This window comes from Homo sapiens, chromosome 9 (genome assembly GCF_000001405.40).
Source record: "Homo sapiens chromosome 9, GRCh38.p14 Primary Assembly".
NCBI classification, from domain to species: domain Eukaryota; kingdom Metazoa; phylum Chordata; class Mammalia; order Primates; family Hominidae; genus Homo; species Homo sapiens.
In genome coordinates, this window is record NC_000009.12 from 62888327 (window position 1) to 62912921 (window position 24595).

Below are 24595 nucleotides of genomic sequence, written 5' to 3' on the forward strand. Positions count from 1 at the left end.
AAAACCGCCAGTTTGCACTTCCCTTATATAATGACTATTCTGGTGTTTGTGTGTATCTGTTGTGGGTCGGGGTCTTGGGCTGAGTAAATAATCACATTAAAAATTTTAAAAACTTCCGATTAAAACAGAAATAAGAACAAACGGCCATTCGTGGATCATTTGCAAAGCTGAACGAATACTTGACATGTCTTTCTGTGATTCCTTGCAGATATCATGGAAATCAGGACAGTAGCAGTTGGGATTGTGGCAATCAAAGGGGTGGAAAGTGAATTCTATCTTGCAATGAACGAGGAAGGAAAACTCTATGCAAAGGTATTGATAATTGATAGCTTAGGCTTAATTTTTAAAACTCTTTTGTTGAAATATCTCACCATTCTGAAAAGTAAAAATGGACTTAATTTATCTCCAACTGTATAATTTAATGATTTTATTAAAACACTTTATACTCAAACATTAAGAAAAAATGTTTTCTGTGTGACTTTGGACAAATGGCTTGTTCTTTGGATTTTGGTTTCTTCATCTGTAAAATGAGTTGAATTAGCTGACCTCTAAGGATCCTGCCAGCTCTAAAATTCCATGTGCATTTTAGATATTTAAAATCCAAAATTTCCATTTGCCAGTATTAAAGCTCTTTTTGTTAAAGTTCACTCAATTTGCACATTGCTGACATGAAAATTCTTGGGAAAAAATCTTGAAATGTTTAGTTCATTCATCAATATCAATCTGACAATCATGGGCTTTGAACTGTAATTATTCACATTGTTCCCACTTCACTACAATGCAAAATATGTAACAGTTCATCTCACTGTAATAAAATATAATTGGCTTTCCTTTATATTCCCACAGCTCAGCATAATGCCTGGAACAGGCTAATTGTATAATGATACAGGTTTAACTGAATGAACAAATGGTTGCATGGATGAACAAACAAATTAACCTTTTATCTTCCATTACCATTGAAGACAATGTAGAAGTAAATAAAGAAAAGTTGTGAAACAAGTCTCTCACCTGAGGGAGGCAGAGGTTCTGCTAATTATAGCAAATTTCCAGTGGTTAAAGAATGAGTGATGTGGGAATAGTAATATGAGGCCTGTTACTTAGGGGGAAATAGGTCCTAATTTTAAAGAATAGTTGACATGAACTTCCAAAAAGCTACACATATTTCATAACTAGCTGTGTATTATGTGGTGTTTCTATTTCAAATTTAAGATACCTTTTAATGCAAATATACTACATAAGTCTAGCTAATAAACCACATTAGGCCTGCTCAATCTGAGGGTTAAAAAAAGTTGTGTATGTTTCAATTCTACCAAATATTACCTGCTTACTCTTCGTTTAATTGAGCCTCTCTAAAAATCATTTGGATCATGTTTGTTTGTTTGTTTGTTTGTTTGTTTGTTTTAACAGAAGGAATGCAATGAAGATTGTAACTTCAAAGATCTAATTCTGGAAAACCATTACAACACATATGCAGCAGCTAAATGGACAAACAACGGAGGGGAAATGTTTGTGGCCTTAAATCAAAAGGGGATTCCTGTAAGAGGAAAAAAAAACAAAGAAAGAACAAAAAACAGCCCACTTTCTTCCTATGGCAATAACTTAATTGCATATGGTATATAAAGAACCAGTTCCAGCAGGGAGATTTCTTTAAGTGGACTGTTTTCTTTCTTCTCAAAATTTTCTTTCCTTTTATTTTCTAGTAATCAAGAAAGGCTGGAAAACTACTGAAAAACTGATCAAGCTGGACTTGTGCATTTATGTTTGTTTTAAGGCACTGCATTAAAGAGACATTTGAAAAGTATACACAAAAATCAGATTTAGTAACTAAAGGTTGTACAAAATTTTAAAACTGGTTGTACAATCATGATGTTAGTAATAGTAATTTTGTTCTTAAATTAATTTACCCTTAAGAGTATGTTAGATTTGATTATCTGATAATGATTATTTAAATATTCCTATCTGCTTATAAAATGGCTGCTATAATAATAATAATGCAGATGATGTTATATAAGGTATATCAGACCTACAGGCTGCTGGCAGGATTTGTCAGATAATCAACCCACACTAACTATGGAAAATGAGCAGCATTTTAAATGCTTTCTAGTGAAAAATTATAATCTACTTAAACTCTAATCAGAAAAAAAGAATATTCTCAAAAAAATCTATTATGAAAGTCAATAAAATAGATAATTTAACAAAAGTACAGGATTAGAACATGCTTATACCTATTAACAAGAACAAAATTTCTAATGCTGCTCAAGTGGAAAGGGTATTGCTAAAAGGATGTTTCCAAAAATCTTGTATATAAGATAGCAACAGTGATTGATGATAATACTGTACTTCATCTTACTTGCCACTAAATAACATTTTATAATTCCTCAAAGTAAAATTGAGAAATCTTTAAGTTTTTTTCAAGTAACATAATCTATCTTTGTATAATTCATATTTGGGAATATGGCTTTTAATAATGTTCTTCCCACAAATAATCACGCTTTTTTCCTATGGTTACTGCATTAAACTCTATATTAAGTTGTTTTTGAACTTATTGTTTTGTTATTTAAGTTTATGTTATTTATAAAAAAAACCTTAATAAGCTGTATCTGTTTCATATGCTTTTAATTTTAAAGGAATAACAAAACTGTCTGGCTCAACTGCAAGTTTCCCTCCCCTTTGTGACTGACACTAAGCTAGCACACAGCACTTGGGCCAGCAAATCCTGGAAGGCAGACAAAAATGAGGGCCTGAAGCAATGCTTACAATAGATGTCTCACACAGAACAATACAAACATGTAAAAAATCTTTCACCACATATTCTTGCCAATTAATTGGATCATATAAGTAAAATCATTACAAATATAAGTATTTACAGGATTTTAAAGTTAGAATATATTTGAATGCATGGGTAGAAAAGTATCATATTTTAAAACTATGTATATTTAAATTTAGTAATTTTCTAATCTCTAGAAATCTCTCCTGTTCAAAAGATGGCAGCACTGAAAGTTGTTTTCCTGTTAGATGGCAAGAGCACAATGCCCAAAATAGAAGATACAGTTAGGAATAAGGGGCCCTGAATGTTATGAAGGTTTGAAGTCAGCCTACAGATAACAGGATTATTACAAAGATGAATTTCCACTTCCAAAGTCTGTCATTGGCAGATCTTGGTAGCACTTTATATGTTTACCAATGGGAGGTCAACATCTATCTAATTTAAAAGCTATGCTAACCATTGTGGTTTTAATTTCAAAATATTTGTCATACAAGTCCCTTTACATAAATAGTATTTGGTAATACATTTATAGATGAGAGTTATATGAAAAGGCTAGGTCACCAAAACAATAGATTCATTTAATTTTCCTGTGGTTGACCTATACGACCAGGATGTAGAAAACTAGAAAGAACTGCCCTTCCTCAGATATACTCTTGGGAGAGAGCACAAATGGTATTCTGAACTATCACCTGATTCAAGGACTTTGCTAGCTAGGTTTTGAGGTCAGGCTTCAGTAACTGTAGTCTTGTGAGCATATTGAGGGCAGAGGAGGACTTAGTTTTTTGTATGTGTTTCCTTAGTGCCTAGCAGACTATCTGTTCATAATCAGTTTTCAGTGTGAATTCATTGAATGTTTATAGACAAAAGAAAATACATAATAAAACTAATCTTCATTTTAAAAGGGTAAAACATGACTACACAGAAATTTAAATAGAAATAGTGTATATACATATAAAATACAAGCTATGTTAGGACCAAATCTCTTTGTCTATGGAGTTATACTTCCATCAAATTACATAGCAATGCTGAATTAGGCAAAACCAATATTTAGTGGTAAATCCATTCCTGGTAGTATAAGTCACCTAAAAAAGATTTCTAGAAATATGTACTTTAATTATTTGTTTTTCTCCTATTTTTAAATTTATTATGCAAATTTTAGAAAATAAAATTTGCTCTAGTTACACACACTTAGAATTCTAGAATCTTAAAACTGTAAGGGGCCTCCATCCCTTTTACTCATTTGTAGTCTAGGAAATCAAGATTTTGATACACCTCAGGTCATGCAGCTGGGTAGATATACAACTGTCACAAGAGTCTAGATCAGTTGGCACATGCTTTCTATACTAGATTATTAGTATTATTAGCTAATGGTCTTCTGCATTTTTTGGTTTTTGATTTGTATTGAGATATAGCCTTTACATTTCTACACAAATGTGACTATGTATTGGCAATGCACTTCATACACAATGACTAATCTATACTGTGATGATTTGACTCAAAAGGAGAAAAGAAATTACGTAGTTTTCAATTCTGATTCCTATTCACCTTTTGTTTATGAATGGAAAGCTTTGTGCAAAATATACATATAAGCAGAGTAAGCCTTTTAAAAAATTTTCTTTGAAAGATAAAATACATGAGTTTCTAACAATTAGAAAGGAAAAAATGAAAATATGAAATAACAAAAGTAAACAAAAGATACTTTCAAAGCAGTGAACAAAACATTTTGACATAAGCCATAATATAAATTATAATATAAAAACATAAAAACCATAGTATAAATTGTCAGTCTTTGAGTTGGCCACAAATTCAATTTAATGAAAGAAGAGAAGGGATGCTGGAGGTAAATAAATTCTTAGAGTTTCTATCTCATAGAGTTTGCTCTTCTGGTTCTCTAGACTGCCAAAGAACATAAAGATGTACAAGGGGACCTAGCTGTAGTAAAAGCATACCTATAACAACAAAAACTCTAAAACGGTGCCCCTCATGATTTTCTACTGAAATTTCTCTAATAGTAGAGGTATAAAATAAGAAGTTAGAGAATAATACAAAAGGGGCCCACCATAGAAAGCACATTTCTTTTCTCTTAAGACTCATGTGATTTTTGCATCTTACTCCATAATGTATTAGTGGTTGCATTAATATGACAATGTCTGCAATTAAACACCAGTAAGCAAAATTGATACATCAGAATGACTTGCAGGGCTTATCACGCAGTTTCATTTACATCCCTACCCCACTGCCATTTACTTGAGCGTGAATGACACAGGAGAGATTCTTTGCCTTCCATAATCCAACTTTACACATAAATAACACAAGGCTAAAGAAAACCAGAACTCAAATTCACCATGCATAGGAGTGATAACAAAAATATTTAACAGTCAGTATGGGCGATCACTGGCCAATCAAAATACATCACTGATATATCAAAATGGATGCAGGCCACTGTGACTAACTTGTGGATATCATTTCTATGATCACCCTAAAACAGAGTTGGGAAAATATCAATTAACTGGTCTCTCTGGTTTGAATTCTCAATATGTATCTTAATATGAAATAGCTCATTAAAACTTCATGTGTAACTATTTCAGCATTGTTGTCAGCTACTCTTTATTCCACTTCTATACAGATCATGTCATCTTCAAATAGAGACACTTTCACTTCTTTTCCAATTTGGATGCCTTTTATTTCTTTTTCTTACCTAATTGCTCTGGCTAGGACTTACAGACTTTTTCAGAAACCCCCCAAAGTAATCTAGGGGAGTCCACTATCACTAGATCTGCTTTATAAGAAACCCTAAAGGGAGTTCCTCAAACTGAAATGCAATAAGACTAATTAGTATCATGAAACCATATGTAGTTATAAAAAGTCACTGGTAAAAGTAACTGTACAGTCAAATTCAAAATACTCCTAATACTGTAATGATGGAGTATAATCACTTTAACTTTTAAAAGGTTAAAAGACAAAAAATACTACAAATAAATATAATTACAAAATATACAAAGAAAGAAACTCTGACATCAAAAAACATAAGTGGAGGGGAGTAAAGTGTAGGGTTTTTGTATATGATTGAAGTTAAGTTGTTATCAACTTAAAATAGACCATTATAACTACAATCATGCATTTCTTAATGCGGACATGTCCTGAATAATGCAATTTTGTCATGGTGTGAATATCATAGAGTATACTTACACAAAATTAGATAATACCACCTAACACACACCCGGGCTATTTGGTATAACCTATTGTTTCCAGGCTACAAATCTGTACAGCATTGTACTATACTGAATGCTATAGGCAACTGTAATACAATCATAAGCATTTGTGTATCTAATGTATCTAAACATATGAAAGGTACAATAAAAATGTTATAACCTTATGGGACCACCGTTGTATATGTGGCCCATCATTGACCAAAACATCCTTGTGTGGCACATGATAGCATACAATGTTTTATGTAAGCCTCATGATAAACACAAAGACAAAACATGTAACAGATACACAAATGAGAATTTTACCACATGTTTAAAAAAGAATTAATACAAAGGCACAGCAAAGAATCAAAGTATACCACTACAGAAAATAATCAACGTAATCAAATCACGCACAGCAAGAGAGAAATAAAAGAACAAAAAAACTACAAAATGCCTATCAATAGTTACTTTAAATATCAGTGGACCAAATTAGTGAAACAAAAGACACAGAGTGGCTGAATGGATAGTAAAACAAGAACCAAATATATGCCACCTATAAGAGACTCACTTCACCTTTAGAGACACACATAGACAGAAAGAGAGGGAACAAAAAAAGACAGAGTAGCTATTCTTACAACAAACAAAATAGACTTTAAGTCAAAAACTGTAACGAGACAAAGTCGTTATAGAATGATACAAGGGTCAATTCATTGAGAGGATATAACTACTGCAAATATATATTCTCCCAACATTGGAGCACCTAATTATATAAAGCAAATATTAACAAATCTGAAGAGAGAAGTAGACAACAATAATACAATAACAGTAGGGGACTTCCATGTCCCACTTTCAACAATGGATTGATCACTCAGACAGATAATCAGTAAGGAAACAGCTGACTTGAACTACACTATAGATCAAATGGACCAGACATATACATGACATTCCTTTCCAAAACAGCAAAATACACATTCTTCTCGAGCATACACAGTACATTCTCCAACATAGGTCATATATTAGGCCAGAAAACAAGTCTTAGCAAATTTAAGAAGATTGAGATCTCACCAAGTATTCTTTTTGACTACAGTGGCATGAAACTGAAAATTAAAAACAGGAGAAAACTTAGAAAAGTGACAAATATGTGGAAATCAACCAACACACTCCTGAATAACCAGTAGATCAAAGAAAACATCAAAAAAGAAATAAAATATCTTGAGACAAACTAAAATGAAAGCACGACATACTAAAACTGATGAGATGAAGCAAAAGCCGTTCTAAGAGAGGGAAGTTTATACAGATAAGTGCTAAATAAAGAAAAAAGATCCCAAATAAACCTCAAAAAATAGAAAAAAATAATCAAGCCCAAAATTAGAAGAAGGAAATAACAAAGATCATAGCAGAAATAAATGAAATAGACTAGAAAAACAATAGAAAAGATCAATGAAACGAAGAGTTGATTTTTTGAAAAGATAATAAATATTGACCAACCTCTCACTAGGCCAAGAAAAAAGAAATCTCAAGTAAATAAAATTAGAACAAAAAAGGAGATATTAAAATTGGTACCATAGAAATACAAAGGATAATAATAGTCTACTCTAAACAACTATGTGTCAACAAATTGTTTAACTTAGAATAGAGAAATTTCTAGAAACATACATCCACTAGACTGAAACATGAAGAAATAGAAAATAAAAACAGATAAATAATGATTAAAAATATTGAGTCAGTAGTCAAAAAGCTCCTGAAAAAGGAAAATCCAAGACCAGATAGCTTAGTGGAGAATTCTACCAAATGTTTGAAGAAGAATTAATACGATTTCTTCACAAACTCTTCCAAAAGTTGAAGAGGAGGGAACACTTCCAAACATTTTTTATGAGGCCAGCATTACCCTGATAACAAAGACAGAAAAGGACACTACAAGGATGACAGAGATTTTTAAGGTACAAATGATGTATTGTTGGAATTGAAAATACAGGCTTTGTTAGTACAAAGATTTGTGTGTGGATAGGTGGATGTGTACTGGTGTGTGCATGCATACATATACAAGCTTAACTTGTTTTATTGCACTTCACTTTATTATGCTTCTCGGATATTGCAGTTTGTACAGGTTGAAGGTTTGTGGCAACCCTGCACCAAGCAAGTCTACCAGTGCCACTTTTCTGGTAGCATGTGCTTATTTTGCACCTCTGTGTTACATCTTTGTAATTCTTGCAATATTTCAAATGTTTTGTTATTATTATATCTGTTATGGTGATCTGTTATCAGTGATCATTGATATTACTATTGTCATTGTTTTGGGGCATCACAAGCCATGCTCCAAAAGACAATGAGCTTAATTGATACATATGTGTATTCAAATGGTTCCATCGATCTGCCCTTCCTCCATCTCACCCTCTCCTCAGGTCTGTTTTCTGAGACACAGCAATATTGAAATTAGGCCAATTAATAACTCTATAAAGGCCTCTATGTGTTCAAGTGAAAGTAAGAGTCACACATCTCTTATTATAAATCTAAAGTGAGAAATGATTAAGCTGAGTGAGGAAGGTATGTTAAAAGCTGAGACAGGCCAAAAGGCCCAGGCTGGTCTCGAACTCCTGACCTCAAGCAATCCACCTGCCGCAGCCTCCCAGGTAGCTGAGATTAAAGGCATGAGCCACCATGTCCAGCTTCTATGCATTATTTTAAATGGAGTATTGAAGACTCTGTTACTGTAGAACTATTTCTAACTTCAATTCTGTCAATATTTGGGTCACAGGCCTTAATGTGATTACACGCTGGTCTGATGCTCATGGCCAGGACATTTTGTTTTCCTGTTGGACATAAACAATCTCACAGAATATCAACTTCAGAAGGTTAATCTGAGACCGTGATAAGTGCAAACAAAAACAAGGGCACTTTATAATGTTGTCTAAGTGCAGATAAAAAACAAGGTCTTGATGCCACCCACAAAATACTTAATAATCATATTGCTCCTGCTTTCTGACAGCATCCAATCTAAAGTCTTCACTTTCTGAGATCCTGTCCGAAATCAACCAATTAAAGTCCAAATCGTATAATAGTTTCTCTCTAACTCCTCCCACTGAGATGACCCATAGTACCCCATTCCTTGCTGCAATGTAATTATATTTACTTACAAGTGTGCTCCTGGTGGTCTTTAACTGAAGGGCACTGACTGGGTCACTGGTGAAGTTCCCCGCAGGAACTGAGTCAGACCCCATCTCAGGGCCCTGCACAAGATAGGTACCTGCTCTAAGGCGTGGACCCTCGCCACAGCCCTGGCCCGTCTTGACGGGCGAGGGTTACTGTACTTGTCCCAACCGTACAGATGAGAAAGCTGAGACTCAGGGCCAGCAACCCGGGTCCCAGCGGAGCGCCCGGCACGCGCCAACACTTCAGCACCAGTCGCGGTGGCCACCACTGTGCGCGGAGATGGCTGCGACGCGTGCGCAGGTAAAGTCCATCCGTGCCTTGCCTCCCACCGGCGCCTTCCCCGGCCTCTGGTTTTTGTCCCCGCCAGCGGCTCCGACTCCATCGCGTCCTCTTCCAGTCTAGTGCTTTTTTCCAGATCTCGATCCCAAACTCCCTCCTACCAGAATCTGGACCCGAATCCACCCATTGTCCGTTTTCCGCTGCCGCTGGAGAGAATCTCTGAGGTCCCCAGGAGAGCCTGCCTGCACGGAAGAGACGCCTCCTCGGTATGGCCGCCCCCGGAGAGGAGCGATTAAGTGCAGACCTCCATGTTGCTCTTGAGCCTGAGCGGCTTCAGGGAGCCATGTTTGTTACTGGCGGGCGCCGACCTCACTGAGCATGTGCAGCCCTGGCCGGGCGGCCTCAAAGTTCTGACATCACAGGGCGGTTCCTGAAGTGGACATAGTTGTAAGAGCTAGTTATTTTAGACAATGCCTCTGTGATCAGGGACTCTAATCTGGAAATAGGTAGTCGGAGAGGTCGGTGATGCAGTCTCTGGATCAGAGACCTGAGCTATATGGGGTTAGAGAGGGGCCCTGGGCAGGCGAGTCTCTGGGGAGTGTGGTGAGAATCCTTGTGTAAGATGCTGGGAGGAGGTGGGGTCAGGGCTGGGGTCCGTGGGCCGACGGGTTGGGGGATGGCCAGCGTCAGGGATCAGTAGTAGAGATTCTATGTGCCCTGATCGCCAGTGGAGGTTTTAAATACAGAGTATTCATGAGTTTAGCAATGTTATTCGCCTCTCATTATTTAAATAATTTGAAGTTTTCCCCAATAACTAGTGTCTTAGAAGTCATGAAAATTTCAGAAAATGACAGGTCTTCTGAGTTCATGATGGGAGTTGGGCAGCAGTCGCATACGAGCACCTGGAGAGTCCTTGCCAGTTCTTTGGGGATGGGGAGCTCTTAAGACTGCCCTGAGACCGCCCTTTGACCTCATTGTGGTCCTTTCTAGATTAAATGCTGTTTTCCATGACCGTCTCTGTTCTTCCCATACGCGAATGGCAGGCATTCAGATCTCCAAGAATAGAGGATTAGGAGAGACTCCACCACCTATGTCCTCACAGTTAATTATCGATTTGTGTCAGTTGCCCATTTTCTCACTTCCTGTTTGTGTGTCAAGGGGTATTAATAAATCTTTGCCTATTTAAAGATATTAGCCTTGGATTTTCAAATATTGCATATTTTGACATGTAAAAATTTGTTAGTTTTATTTTTTCAACCGATCTGACCTGTATAGTTGGGCTTGAGGAAGCTTCCTCATTCTACATGTTACTATGGATTTTCTAATATTAACACAGGGTTGTATTTTTTCCATATAACTTTCTATTGAATTTCTTTTTCCATATGATAGGTGGTGAAGGTTTAGCCCAGTAAAGCAGAGAGGTTAAGAGGTTAGATTGGGGGCTCTGGAGCCAGACCTGTGTAGATCTGAGTCCTGGCTCTGGCACTTGAAAGCCGTGTGACCTTGGTTAAGATACTTAGTCCCTCTCTGCCAAATGGAGAAATAAGGGCACCTACCCCATAGGGTAGTTGTGTGATTACACAAGTTAATACACTTCAATCAGTAGCAAGAAAGTGAATGTCAAGCTGTATTTGTTCAGGCAGCCATATGGTAGCCCCACGTCCTTAGTAAACTGAGGTATTGAAGTATCTTCTTTTTCTTTCAGAAAATATTTGTCAAGCACCTTCTGTGTTCAAAGAACTGTTCTAGAGCTTTACATGCTATGGAGGTCTAGAAATTCACATTATGGTGGCAGGTGACAGACAATACAAAGAGATAAAGCAATTTTATATAGTGATAAGCTAGGGAGGAGTGCTAAAAGGAGCCAAGGTGTAGTGGTGACTGGAAGGTGACCAGGGAAACCACTGTAGGGTTTCTAAGTGATGAGATCTGTGACAAATCCCTGTGGTCAGCAGCAGGCATTGGATATGTAACTTTATTCTGTCCCATTGATCTTGTAGTCAACCCTGGTCTGTTCTGTATTGTTTTAATTACATAATCTTTGTAATAATCTTTAATACCTGGTGGAGTGCTCTGTTTACTTATTTCTGCGTAATTAACCACCCCTAAGCTTAACTTACTCATGGTTCTGCAGGGTGACTGCTCTCCATGGTTCTAGGTGGTTCTGCATGGGGCCTCTCACATGTGCTACAGTCAAACATTAGCCGGGGCCACAGTCATCTGAAACTCACTTACATGGCTGACAATTGATGTTGGCTGTTGCCTGGAGAAGACATATGTGGCGTGGTGGAATGGAATGGTGACTAGATTCAAGAAAGAGCTTCCCAGGAGGAAGGCTACCAAGAGACCGAAGTAGAGGCTTCAGTTTCTTAAAAAAAAAAAAAAAAAAAAAAAATCGGGCCAGGCACGATGGCTCATGCATGTAATCCCAGCACTTTGGGAGGCCAAGGCAGGCAGATCACAAGGTCATGAGATCGAGACCATCCTGGCCAACATAGTGAAACCCGTCTCCAATAAAAAAAAAAATACAAAAATTAGCTGGGCATGGTGGTGTGAACCGGTAGTCCCAACTACTCGGGAGGCTGAGACAGGAGAATCTCTAGAACCTGGGAGGCGGAGGTTGCAGTGAGCTGAGATTGCACCACTGCACTCAAGACTGGCAATAGAGGGAGACTCCATCTCAAAAAAAAAAAAAAAATCCAATAGTAGAATTCCCAGAATGGAATTTATGGCATTTTCTATGGATCAAGCAAGTTGCAAGGCAGCCAGATTCAAGGGGAAGGGAGCTATTCCTCACCTCTTGAGAAGCAATGTGTGTTGAGGAAGGGAAAGAATTGATGGTAGCTGTCTTTGACTTCTACCATACAGAGCAAGGTCTCCACACTCCTTTCTCCTGTAATAATTTTCCATTTGAAAATTTTCCTTGCAATTCTCACACCTTTATTATTTCATATAAATTTTACAATCAATTTTTTTCTTGTCTAGATAACCATGCCATTTAGATTAAAATTGCATTACATTGCAACTTTTGAGAAACTATGGGAGGAGAATTGGCAACCTTATAATATTGAATTTGCTCATTAAGGAACATAGTTTCTCTGTTTATTTAGGTATTATATTTTTCATGACATACATGTTGGTATTTCTACCCAGGCTTTTCTCTTTGTTTTGTCATGTAGCCCATGAATGAGACTGCACTGTCTGTGTGATTGGGCAGTTGCCCAAAGTTTAAGGTGTTAACATGCATTAATTCACTTAATCACTCCTCATTTCCTCCTTCCCTCAACCCCTGACAACCATGAATCTGCTTTCTGTCTCTAGATTTGCCTATTCTGGACATTTTATATAAATGTGTCATCCAATATCTGGTCTTTTCTGACTGGCTTCTTTCACTTAGCAGGATTCTACGGTTTATTGAGGTTCATTCATTGTGTGGCCTGTATCAGTATTTCATTCCTGTTTATGGCTGAATAATGTTCCACTGTATGTACATATGTATGTATACCACACTTTGTATATCCATTTATTTACTGGAGGATATCTGGGTTATTGACAGTATATTTCAGGAGTCCCCAAGATCATCCTCCCCCTTGATCTACTGCTCTTTGTATCTTATATGACCTGTGCAGAACTATTTATCTGGAAATTAGGTGATGGTTGACTAAATATAGTTCTTCTAAAGACTCATTTTCCGTTGGTATTACATCCTGAGGAGACTTTAACTCAATCTCCCAATACATTTGATCATCAATATCAGTATTACCACATGACTTATTTGCATGAGGTAATCAAATCTAACCAGCCATGCCAGTGTTACCCATATTGCATGTTGTGGTAGTAGATGCAGCCCCCCAAAATAAAAGTCAAAAGATGCTGGCACATTCCTGAGGTTCTTCTCAGCCACTAACAATTGGTGTAGTTCATCATCACCTGGAATGACCAAAATGTCTCCCATGGAAATGCGGCTCAGCTGTGTAGGCTTCCATTTAACTTTGTCAGGTTCCGAGGCAGGGCTGGCTTGAGTGGTCTTGTTTCCACTTTGGCTATGATGAATAATGCTGCTGTGAACATTCAGGTATACGTTTTTGTGTGGTTTCATTTCTTTTAAGTATATACCTTGGAGTGTAATTACTGGATCATATGATAACTCTGTTTTAATTTTTGAGAAACTACCAAAATGTTTTCCAAAACAGAAAAGGTTTTACATTCCCTCAGCATTGAATGAAGGTTATTATCCAGTTTCCTGTTCTTGCTGACACTCCTTATTGTTTGTCTTTTGAATTTAGTTATCTCATTGGGGTGACGTGGTGTATCATTGTGTTTTGATTTGCATTTCCCTAATAATGAATGTTATTGAGCACCTTCTCACATGCTTATTGGCCATTTTTCATGTTTTTGAAGAAATGTCTATTCATCTTTTGCCCATTTTTAAATTGCGTTGTCTTTTTATTGAGTTGTAAGAGTGGTTATATCGTCTGGAACATGTGTTCCTTATCAGATATAGGACTTATAAGTTTTTGTCCCATTCTGTGGTTGTCCTTATTTTCTTATGTAACCTTTGTATTAGTCTGTTTTCATGCTGCTGATAAAGACATACCTGAGACTGGTCAATTTACAAAAGAAGGAGGTTTATTGGACTCACAGTTCCATGTGGCTGGGGAGACCACACAATCATGGCGAAAGATGAAAGGCAAGGAGGAGCAAGTCACGTCTTACATGGATGGCAGCAGGCAAAGTGAGAGCTTGTGCAGGGAAACTCTCATTTTTAAAACCATCAGATCTCGTGAGACTCATTCACTATCATGAGAACAGCACAAGAAAGACCTGCCCCCATAATTCAGTCACCTTCCACTGGGTTCCTCCCACAACACATGAGAATTCTGGGAGTTACAACTCAAGATGAGATTTGGGTGGGGACACAGCCAAACCATGTCAACTTTGAAACACAGAACTTTTTAATGAAATTGACCTGATCTATTTTTTGTTTTGTTGCTTGAGCTTTTGGTGACTGCTATGGTTTGAAATATGTTCCCACAAAATTCATGTTTGGAATGCTTATATTCCTGTTGGTGGGAATATAAAACCGTACATCTAGTATGGAAAACAATACGGTGATTCCTCAAGAAATTAGAAACAGAATTACCCTATGATCCAGCATTTCCACTTCTGGGTGGAATACCAAAATAATTGAAAGCAGGGTCTCAAAGAGATATCTGTACACCCGTGTTCATAGCAGCATTAGACACAATAGCCAAAAGGGAAATAATCTAAGCATTCATTGAGGGATGAATGGAAAAACAAAATCTGACATATACATACATACAGTGGAATATTATTCAGCTTCCAAAAGGAAGAAAATGTCTATATAGCATATAGACATATGCTATAACATGGATGCACCTTGAGTACATTATGCTAGGTGAAATAAGCCTGTCACAAAAACAAATACTGCATGATTCCATTTAAATGAGGGGCCTAGAATATTCAACTTCATAGACAGAAGGTAGAATGGTGGTTGCCAGAGGCTGGGAAGAGGGGGTAGGGGTTAGGTTTTAATAAATATCATTTCAGTTTTACAAGATGAAGAGAGTTTTGCAGATGGGTTGTGGGGATACTTGTACAACATTATCAATGTATTTAATACCACTGAATTGTACACTTAAAATGGTTAAGATGGTAAATTTTATGTGTGTTTTAACACAATAAAAACTGAAAAAAGGGATATATGTTACCCTAAATAAAAATTTCATATGCTGAACTCAGAACCCCCAGTACCTAAGAACATGACCTTTTTTGAAAATGGGATTGTTGTTAATGTAATTAGTTAAGATGAGGTCATGCTGTAATAGGGTGGGCCCCCAATCCAATATGATTTGTGTCTTTATAAAAAAGGGAAATTTGTGCACAGAGATAACACAGGGGATATGCCATATGAAGATGAAGGCAGAATTCTACAAGCCCAGGGATGCCAAAGATTGCCAGCAAACCACCAGAAGCTAGGAGAGAAGTGTGGATTAGATTCTTCCTCACAGCCCTCAGAAGGATCCAGCCCTGCCAAGAACTTGATCTCAGACTTCTAGTCTCCAGAACTGTGAGACAGTGCATTTTGTTTTGTAAGTCAGCCATATGGTTTGTGGCACTTTGTTATGGCAGCCCTAGGAGATGAAGACAATATGCAACATGGTATGTCCATTATAGGACACTGTGGGCCATAAATGTGTTCTTTGGCCTGAAGAAATAAAACTTGGTGGTCCAAGTTGATGTCTTATCATCTGTTCCAGTTCTTTTATAGTATTTTTGGGATTTGAATCTAATGACTATGCAAAGCCCAGTCCAGAGAACGTGTCAGGACCCATTATAGCCTCCCAGGGATACTGGCTTCAGTCTGGTATAATCTACTTGTTAGCTATGAGTGGTGCCTTCCCACTGGGAATCTGCCCCATAGCCACCTGCAGTCTCTGTCTTCCTGCTGTCAGATAGGACGGTTCTTGTTGGCATTTGGTGCCTCTGAGGGTGGAGGAGGGACGTGTTGCTGAGCAGCCCATCCCTGCACGGCTGCAGCTCCCCTGTGTCCACTCCTTTGTTAAGCCCAGGTGGCCACCTCAAGGTCACCAGGATATCCACCTACCAGATCTGATCACTGAACCTGGGAGGGGTTCTTCAGGTGGGCATTGACATGACCTACTTTAATGTGCCCTTTAAATTCCTGCAGTGCTGTGCTCCATGTGGACATCCTTTCACAGCCCAGTTTGCCATTGTCCCTCTGCCTGGTCACATGGCCAGGCCATTGGCCACTGCCCATGAGTCAGTAAAAGTAAAAACCGAAATGTAGAAGATCCTATCATTGTTCAATTCTTCCATCCCAGGAAGGAGTGCAACATGTAATTCATCTCACTGGGCTGATTTGTTCTTGCCTTTTTCAATAAGAATTTTCCCATTACTGCTCATGGTGTGCATCCAGGCCAAACTGATGCAAGGGTTGGGGTCCCAAGGCCTTGGGCAGCTCTGCCCCATGGCTCTGCAGGGTACTTCCCCAGTGACTGCTTCCATGGGCTGGCATTGAGTGCCTGTGGCTTTTTCAGGCACACAGTGAAAGCTTTCAATGGATCTACCATTCTCTGGCCTGCAGGACAGTGGCCCTCTTCTCACAGCTCCACTAGGCAGTGCCCCAGTGCGGACATTGAGTGGGGCCTCCAAACCCACATTTCACCTCCAGACTGCTTTAGTAAAGGCTCTCCATGAGGGCTCTGACCCTACAGCAGACTTCCTCCTGGACATCCAGGCATTATCATACAACGTTTAAAATCTAGGTGGAAACTCCCAAGCCTCAACTCTTGCCTTCCTTGCACCTGTAAGCTTAAAACCACATGGAAGCCACAAAGGCTTCTTATGGCTGCACCCTCTGATGCAGTGGCCTGAGATGTATCTGGGGCCCTTTTAGCCACAGCTGGAGCTGAAGCAGCTGGGATTCAGGGTGACATGTCCCGAGGTTGTACAGAACAGTGGGGTCCTGGGCCTAGGCCATGAAACCATTTTTCCCTCCTAATCTTTCAGGCCTGTGATGGGAAGGGCTACTGTGAAGATCTCTGAAATGCCCTGGAGGCATTTTCCCCATTATCTTGGCTATTCACATTCTGCTCCTCTTTACTTATGCAAATTCCTGCAGCTGAGTTGAATGTCTTACCAGAAATTTGGTTTTTCTTTTCTACCACATGGTCAGGCTGCAAATTTTCCAATCTTTTATGCTCTGCTTCCCTTTTAAATATAAGTTCCAATTTCAGACCATCTCTTTGTGAATGTATATGAGCATATGCTGTTAGAAGCAGCCAAGTTATATCTTGAATGCTTTGCTGTTTAGAAATTTAGAAATTTCTTCTGCCAGATGCCCTAAATCATCTAAAGTTTGAAGTTCCACAGATCCCTAGAGTAGGAGCACAATGCCACCAGTCTCCTTGCTAAAACATAGCAAGAGTGACTGCAAACTCCAGTTCCCAATAAGTTCCTCACCTCCATCTGAGACCACGTCAGCCTGGATTTCACTGTCCGTATCACTATATGAGCATTTCAGTCACAACCATTCAGCAAGTCTCTAGGAAGTTCCAAACTTTTCTTCCTGTCTTCTGTTTTTTTGTTTTGTTTTCATTTTTGTTTTTGTTTTTGTTTTTTTTAGATGGAGTCTCACTCTGTTATCCAGGCTGGAATGCGGTGGCACAATCTTGGCTCACTGCAACCTCTGCCTCCTGGGTTCAAATGATCCTCCTACCTCAGCTTCCTGAGTAGCTGGGATTACAGGCATGCGCCATGATGCCCGCCTAATTTTTTTTTGTATTTTTAGTAGAGACAGAGTTTCACCATGTTGGTCTGGCTGGCTTTGAAACTCTGACATCAAATGATCCACCTGCTTCACCCTCCCAAAGTGCTGGGATTGCAGGCATGAGCTACCATGCCCAGCCGTCATCTTCATGTCTTCTTATAAGCCTTCCAAACTGTTCCAACCTCTGCCTATTACCTAAGTCCAAAGTCGCTTCCACAGTTTCGGGTATCTTTGTAACAATGCCCTACTTCTCTGGTACCGATTTTCTGTATTAGTTTGTTCTCACATTGCTATAAGGAAGTACCTGAGACTGGGTAATTTATAAAGAAAAAAAGGTTTAATTGGCTCATGGTTCCACAAGCTGTACAGGAAGCATGGCTGAGGAGGCCTCAGGAAACTTACAATCATGGTAGAAGGTGAAAGGGAAGGAAGCATATCTTCGTATGGACAGCAGGAGCACAGGGGAAGTTAATATACAGTATTAAACAGCCAGATCTCATGAGAGCCCTATCACAAGAACAGCAAGGGGGATGTCCACACCTATGATTCAATAATCAATTTCCAATTGTAAGATTCAATTTCCAATTGTAATTGGAAATTACAATTCGACATGACATTTGGCTGGGGACTCAGAGCCAAACCATATCACCAACCCTATAAAGAAAGCGAGGCACTGATGTCACACTGCTGGTGGATCTGAGACTTGATCTCAGGCCAGCCTGATTCCTAAGTGACGTTCTTACCCTGTTGCCTCAGGATCAGCGAGAGCTCTATGGAGCCTGTACATTGCTAAAGAACAAGTTGAAAGAATTTTATTTCCAACAGTAGGGCTGATAAGGACCAGCTGGAAACAACTAAAGCTTCTGGAATACATATCAAGAACCTCTTAAAAATGTGTCAATGAGCTACAAAATAAGAATTCCAAAAAGCTAAAAAAGTTTTAAAATGGAAGTGAAACCCAAAGAAGTAACTAAGGCACTGATGCCACTTTTCACCCTTCAGATATTTGCCTGTCAAACTAAACTTTGCTGTTTTTCACAGCGTGAGGTGGAAAAGGGGCAGCAGAACAGCAGACAAAGCTGAGGGCCTGCCCAAGTGGGAGGGGCTAAGAGGAGACATCATAAAGTGAGATCCAAAAGGACAGACTTAGTGTAAGGGTGAACTATGAATAAACCTGTCCGCCTCCCCCTGTATGCTTCCCTTGACCCCTGCTTCCCTAGGAACAGTGAGGAACATTGGGTATCCTGAGAGAAAACATCTCCCCTGAGAGTTTTATGTGTGTGTATATATATATATATATATATATATATATATATAGCCCTTTAACTGGTTTGTTCACACAACCTGGGTGGTCTAAAATGTCTCAAGCTTCAAATTTAAAGCAATATCAGCTTTTTGGTGCCTTCTAGGTGACTGACAGATGCAAAATGGATTGTCTTTGGAGAAACTCTGAGATACTTTCAAGGAATATAAGTTCACAATAAAAAATCACAAATGTAAAATCGGCAAGAGCCAGCAGAAACAATGGACAGAAAGAGCAGGCCTGCAAAAACTTAAGACAGTCAAGTTACCAAAGACAGTACAAAGTGCGTTTTATACTTAAAGAAATAAAGGAGTTGAAATAACTTGAGCATGAAAATAACCAAATAGATTGGGGAAAGTACCAAGTAGAAACGAAATGAAAAGTATCATAATTGAAATGGAAAGTTCAATGGATTGGTTTAACTAACGGTCATCAAAAAGAGAATAATAGATGAAGAAATAAAGAAGTTTTCAGACTCGAAAAAGCTGAACGACTTTACTACCTGCAGACCTGCACTATAAGAAAAGTTAAGGGATGTCCTTCAGGCATAAAGAAAACGATACTAATGGCAGCGGTGTGCCATCTGGAGCAGCCACTGTTATCACGCCAGCTGCAGTATGGAGGCACAAGTGGTGGTGGCAGGAGTGGCTGTGGGAGCAGCAGTGGTAGTGGTGGGTCCCCTGTGCCCTACATCCCTGAGGCAGCTGACTGCACCACCCCGACCCTTGCACAACTGGGCAGGACCCACTGCAGGCCCGGAACCTCTGCCGTGCCTTCAATCTCGCTGTGTGCTGCGTCTCAGGAGTCTGTGAGCTGATAGTGCAGCCAGGACTTGTGGGGTGGCCCCAGGAGCATTGGGTTTGTTTGCGCGGGGTTGGCTGAGGCCACCAGCCACCCGCACCTTGCCTGCTGCCACTAAGGGGAAAATGCAGACCAGTGGTATGGCTAGGGCTGCATGCTTTATGGAGCCAGAAAGTTGGTAGAGTGGGAGCTTCCCAGGTGCAACTGCAGCCACCCAAGCTGTGGCTGCTACCAGGGCACTCCTGTGCTCTTGGGAGCCAAGAGTAGGCAGGAGCCCCGCCCTCCCAAGTGCAGCTGCAGCCACCCAAGCTGCAGCTGTGGACCCAGGAATCTCCGTACTCTTGGGGGCCCAGGAAGGCACCCCTTTCCCTGCAGGCTAGGAAGTGCCTGCTCCCACTGTCCGTGTTCTCCTTACTGTTAGCATCTGCTCCTGTCACAGTTCACAACCTGGGGCACTGTCTCTCTCTCAGCACTTTCGCATCCCAGCTGCATGTGTGCATGCTTGGAGTAGTGCTGACATGCCAGCCCCTTGGCCCCCTTTGGACTGTGGAGGCTGACAAGCATGGGAAGGAGGCTGAAGTGGGGCTGAGGACAGCTTGGCACTGGCCTGCAGGTACTCCTTGGCATGAATAACGTGGGTGCCATGAACAATGACAGGAGGCAAACAGGCTCTTGGGTGGAAGGGAGCAGGTTTCCAATGAAGCCCCACCTGCAAGCTGGGGTGGGGCTGAAGCCTAGGGGGTGGGCCGCCAGTCTTCAGGGAGGAGATACCCTCTGTGCTGAGAGCTGAAGAGACAACGGGATGACCTGCCTGCAGAGAGGAGCTGCCCTCTCTGCTGAGAGCTCAGTACTCAACAGGACACCCTGGCTATGGAGAGGAGCTACCCACTGCGGGTCTCCTCTGAGCTGTCTTATCTCTCGGTAAAGCTCCTCTTCATCTTGTTCACCTTCCACTTGTCTGCATATATCATTCTTCCTGGTCTCAGGACAAGAACTGGAGACCTGCTGAATGGCGGAGCTAAAATAGCTATAACACAAACAGCGCTGAAACATGCCCCTTGTTTGTCACATTGCAAGCAATGAGAAGAGAGAAGAGAAGAGCTGTGGCTCTTCAGGGAGCCCAGACCTAGGAACTCCGAGCCAGGGCTGTGACACCCTCTTTAGGGCTCTGTGGGTTCCTGGCATCTTCAGGGTTCTGGGCACCACCACATTCCCTGGTGTCAGCCGTGGAAGCTGCTTATGGTATGCCTGGTCTAGCTGCAGCCTTGCATGGAGCTGGCACCCGTGCCAGTGCCTGAAGCTGCCTGCCCATCGCCTATCCCCCCTCAGCCGGCATGCCTGGCTGTGTGCAGTGGCCGGACCCCATGCTTGCTCACACACCCCTTGCTCCTCCGTGCCTGGCTTACCCTTGGCAGACAAGCGATCCAGGCTCATAGTGGGAACTGAGCACAGCCTGCCAGGCCGAGTGGGTGGAACAAGACCAGAGATCCAGAGCAAAACTCTGGAAAAGGCGCCACTGGCCATAGAGGCTTTTGGCTGATGAAGTAATACCTCAAGGATCCCGTAGCAATACCAGATGGAAATCTGGATCCACACAAAGAAATGGTCTACACCAGAAATAGTAACATCGTGTATCTATACCAGAAATAGTAACAACATGGATATATACTTTATATTATTTAAACTTCTCTAAAAGATAATTGTTTAGGAAATAAAGTAATATGCAGTTTATAATATATGTAAAAGTAAAATGGATGACAATAAGAGCTTAAAGACTAAAAGGGGGGAAGTTTACTATTCTCAGATTCTTAAACTGTACATGATGTGATCTACTGTCACCTGAAGGTCAGCCGTGATCAGTTAAAGGTGTACACTGTAAACCCTGGAGCCACCACTAAGATAACAAACCAAAAGATTACAGCTATTAAACTAACAAAGGAGATCAAATGGAATCATAAAAATATATTGGGTAAATCCAAAAGAAGACAGAAAAAGATGTAAAAGAGAATAAAGGACAGATGTGATGAGTAGAAAACAATAGCAAGATAAGAGACTCAACCATATTAGGAATTACATTACATTTAAATTGATTTAGAAGACAGGTTGTCAGATTGGATTTTTTTAAAAGCTGGTTGTATTTTGCTTACAAGAAATGTACTTTATTTATTTACTTATTTTTGGAGATGGAGTTTTGTTCTTGTTGCCCAGGCTGGAGTGCAATGGAGTGGAACAGTGCGATCTCACTGCAACCTCTGCCTCCCGGGTTCAAGCGATTCTCCTGCCTCAGCCTCCCAAATAGCTAGGAATACAGGCCCCTGCCACCACACCCAGCTAATTTTTGTATTTTTAGTAGAGACGGAGTTTCACCATCTTGGCCAGGCTGGTCTCATACTCCTGAAATCAGGTGATCCACCTGCCTTGGCCTCCCAAAGTACTGGGATTACAGGTGTGAGCCACCACACCTGGCCAAGAAATGTAGTTTAAATATAAAGATGCAAATAGGTTAGATGTAAGAGGATGGAAAAAGATATACCATGCCAAGACTAGTCAAAAGAAAGCTGAGGTGGCTATACGAATGCCAAAATAGACTTCAGAGCAAAGACTATTACCAGGGATTAAAGAGATTATTTCTTACTGATAATGTGGTTAGTTAATGAAGAAGACATAACAAACTTACGTCTTTTTGTACCTAACAAAAAAAGCTTCAAAATGTATGAAGAAAAGTAATAAAACAATAAGTAGAGATAGAGATAACCATCAGAGATTTTAATCCCACTCTCAACACTTCATAGAATAAATAGGCAATAAATCAGCAAGAATGTATTGGACTTGAACAACACCATCAACCAACTTGACCTGATTTATATTTATAGAATACTCCACCCTATAAAAGCAAAATACACATTTTCTCAACTGTGCACGGAAGATTTATGGAGATAGACCACATTATAGCCCATTAAAAACCTCAATAAATAAAAAAGTATTCAACTACAAAGTATGTTCTCAGGCCACAATGGAATAAAATTAAAAACCAGTAACAGAAAGATCCTTTAAATATCCCCAAATATTTGGAAATTAACTCACTTCTAAATAACTCATAGGACAAAGAAGAAATCTAAAGGAATATTAGAAAGTTATTTGAAGTTATTGGAAATAGAAAAACAACAAAGAATTTGTCGGTTGTCACTGAAGCAGTACCTGAAGGGAAATTTATGATATTACTGTATTAGAAAAGAATAAGGGTCTCAGATCAGCAACCTCAGTTTCTAATTGAAGAATATCGCCCAGGCGCAGTGGCTCACGCCTGTAATCCTAACACTTGGGGAAGGTCGAGGTAGACAGATCACCTGAGGTTGGGAGTTCGAGACCAGCCTACCCAACATGGTGAAACTCCATCTCTACTAAAAATACAAAAATTAGCTGGGTATGGTGGCTGGCACCTGTAATCCCAGCTACTTGGGAGGCTGAGGCAGGAGAGTCACTTGAACCCAGGAGGTGGTGGTTGCAGTGAGCCGAGATTGTGCCACTGCACTCCAGCCTGGGCAACAGAGCAAGATTCTGTCTCAAAATATATATGAGGAAGAGCAAATTAAATCTAAAGTAACCAAAAGAAAGGGAATAATAAAGATCAAAATGGGAATCAATGAAATAAAAAAAGGAAAAAAAATCAATGAATCCAAAAACGTGTTCTTTGGGAAAGATCAATGAAAACGACAAATCTCCAGCTGGATTGATTGGGAAAAAAGAGAAAATTATGAATATAAAAAGGGGATGACTGACATCACTAAAGATCTGGCAGAGGTAGTGCTCATCAGGATTCTCCACTGCAGTTTCTCTTTTTCCCCCTCTTCCATACCGTCCTCTTTGGAGAATAAGTCACTGTGTGCAGCCCACACATAAGGAGTGGGGAGTTATTCTCGCTCTCCTTTGGGATGGAATATATAACATAATTCATTTGAAATCCTGCATGGGAAATTTATCTCCTTTCCCTCATTCATTAACTTATTTAATCATTTATTTATATCAGTATGCACTCAAGAATATTTATTTTATCTAATACTGCTCTATTTTGTTGCCCTTTACACACATGGACTCTTCCGTATTGCCACAGGTGCCATCAGGTCTCCAGCCTTTGCACATGCTGTTTCCTCTCTGGGATTCCCACATGCCGGGCATTAGGTCAAGCTCCACGGGACTCCCTGAGATGGATCAGACATAGATCCCACCATGAATACCTCACAGTCCGGCTGGGAAGATGAGACAGGGACCTAACTATTTATAGAACAGAGTCACCAGCTTATAGGTACAAAGGAAGGGCATGGACAGCACAGGACACACCTGTCTACTGCTAGAGGTGTCAGGGGCAGCTTCTGAAGTTGGTGGGTCTCATGGGGCTCACTGCAGAGGTGTGACCACAGAAAATAGAAAGGAGGCATTCCATGCAGAAGGAAGCTAGAGTGACAGGAGCACACAGTATAGAGGTAGGGAGCATGGTAGGGGACTGAAGACTCGGACCAGCCCCCCATTGGTACATTTTGTGCTAGGTCTCCACACTCAAACATCCTGCAGCTCAGCTCCAACGACTGAAAATTCTGCTAATGAGAATTTCTCTTCTGCGAGCTTTAGGCCTTGGCTGGTTGGGCCAGTGGCTGCCTCTTATGTCCCCCACCAGTCGAAGCTCAGTTCCACAGGAAGAGCTTTGTGTTTTGCTCTAAGTAGCAAGGAATCCACTTGTGGGGAGTCCAACAGGGAGTGAGTGAAGGACTTACATTCCATGGGAGGCCTCTGGC

The 24595-nt window shown here is 40.1% G+C and overlaps 2 long non-coding RNA genes and 1 pseudogene across 3 annotated transcripts in view, besides 1 other annotated feature; 2 read left to right on the forward strand and 1 right to left on the reverse strand.

Annotated features, from left to right (window-relative positions):
* Positions 1–9761, reverse strand: part of LERFS (lncRNA negative regulator of fibroblast-like synoviocyte migration, SYNCRIP interacting) — a 40232-nt gene extending 30471 nt beyond the window's left edge. The window contains exon 1 of one of the 2 annotated variants that reach the window (NR_122076.1): positions 9203–9761. This is a non-coding gene — a long non-coding RNA (lncRNA negative regulator of fibroblast-like synoviocyte migration, SYNCRIP interacting). Of the gene's footprint in view, positions 1–9092 lie in introns of both variants that reach the window. The other variant, NR_122077.1, reaches the window with a different exon arrangement.
* Positions 209–4613, forward strand: FGF7P8 (fibroblast growth factor 7 pseudogene 8; annotated as a pseudogene).
* FAM88B (family with sequence similarity 88 member B) lies at positions 9050–11451 on the forward strand. The gene is made up of 2 exons (NR_126047.1): positions 9050–9408; positions 9552–11451. It is a non-coding gene; the product is annotated as a family with sequence similarity 88 member B (long non-coding RNA).
* Positions 9183–9662: an enhancer, noted in NCBI's record as "active region_28435". NCBI's record gives its function as "activates an Ori minimal core promoter by ATAC-STARR-seq in GM12878 lymphoblastoid cells {active_cell/tissue: GM12878}" and the evidence as "EXISTENCE:reporter gene assay evidence [ECO:0000049][PMID:35858748]".
* Positions 11452–24595: the final 13144 nt, after the last annotated feature.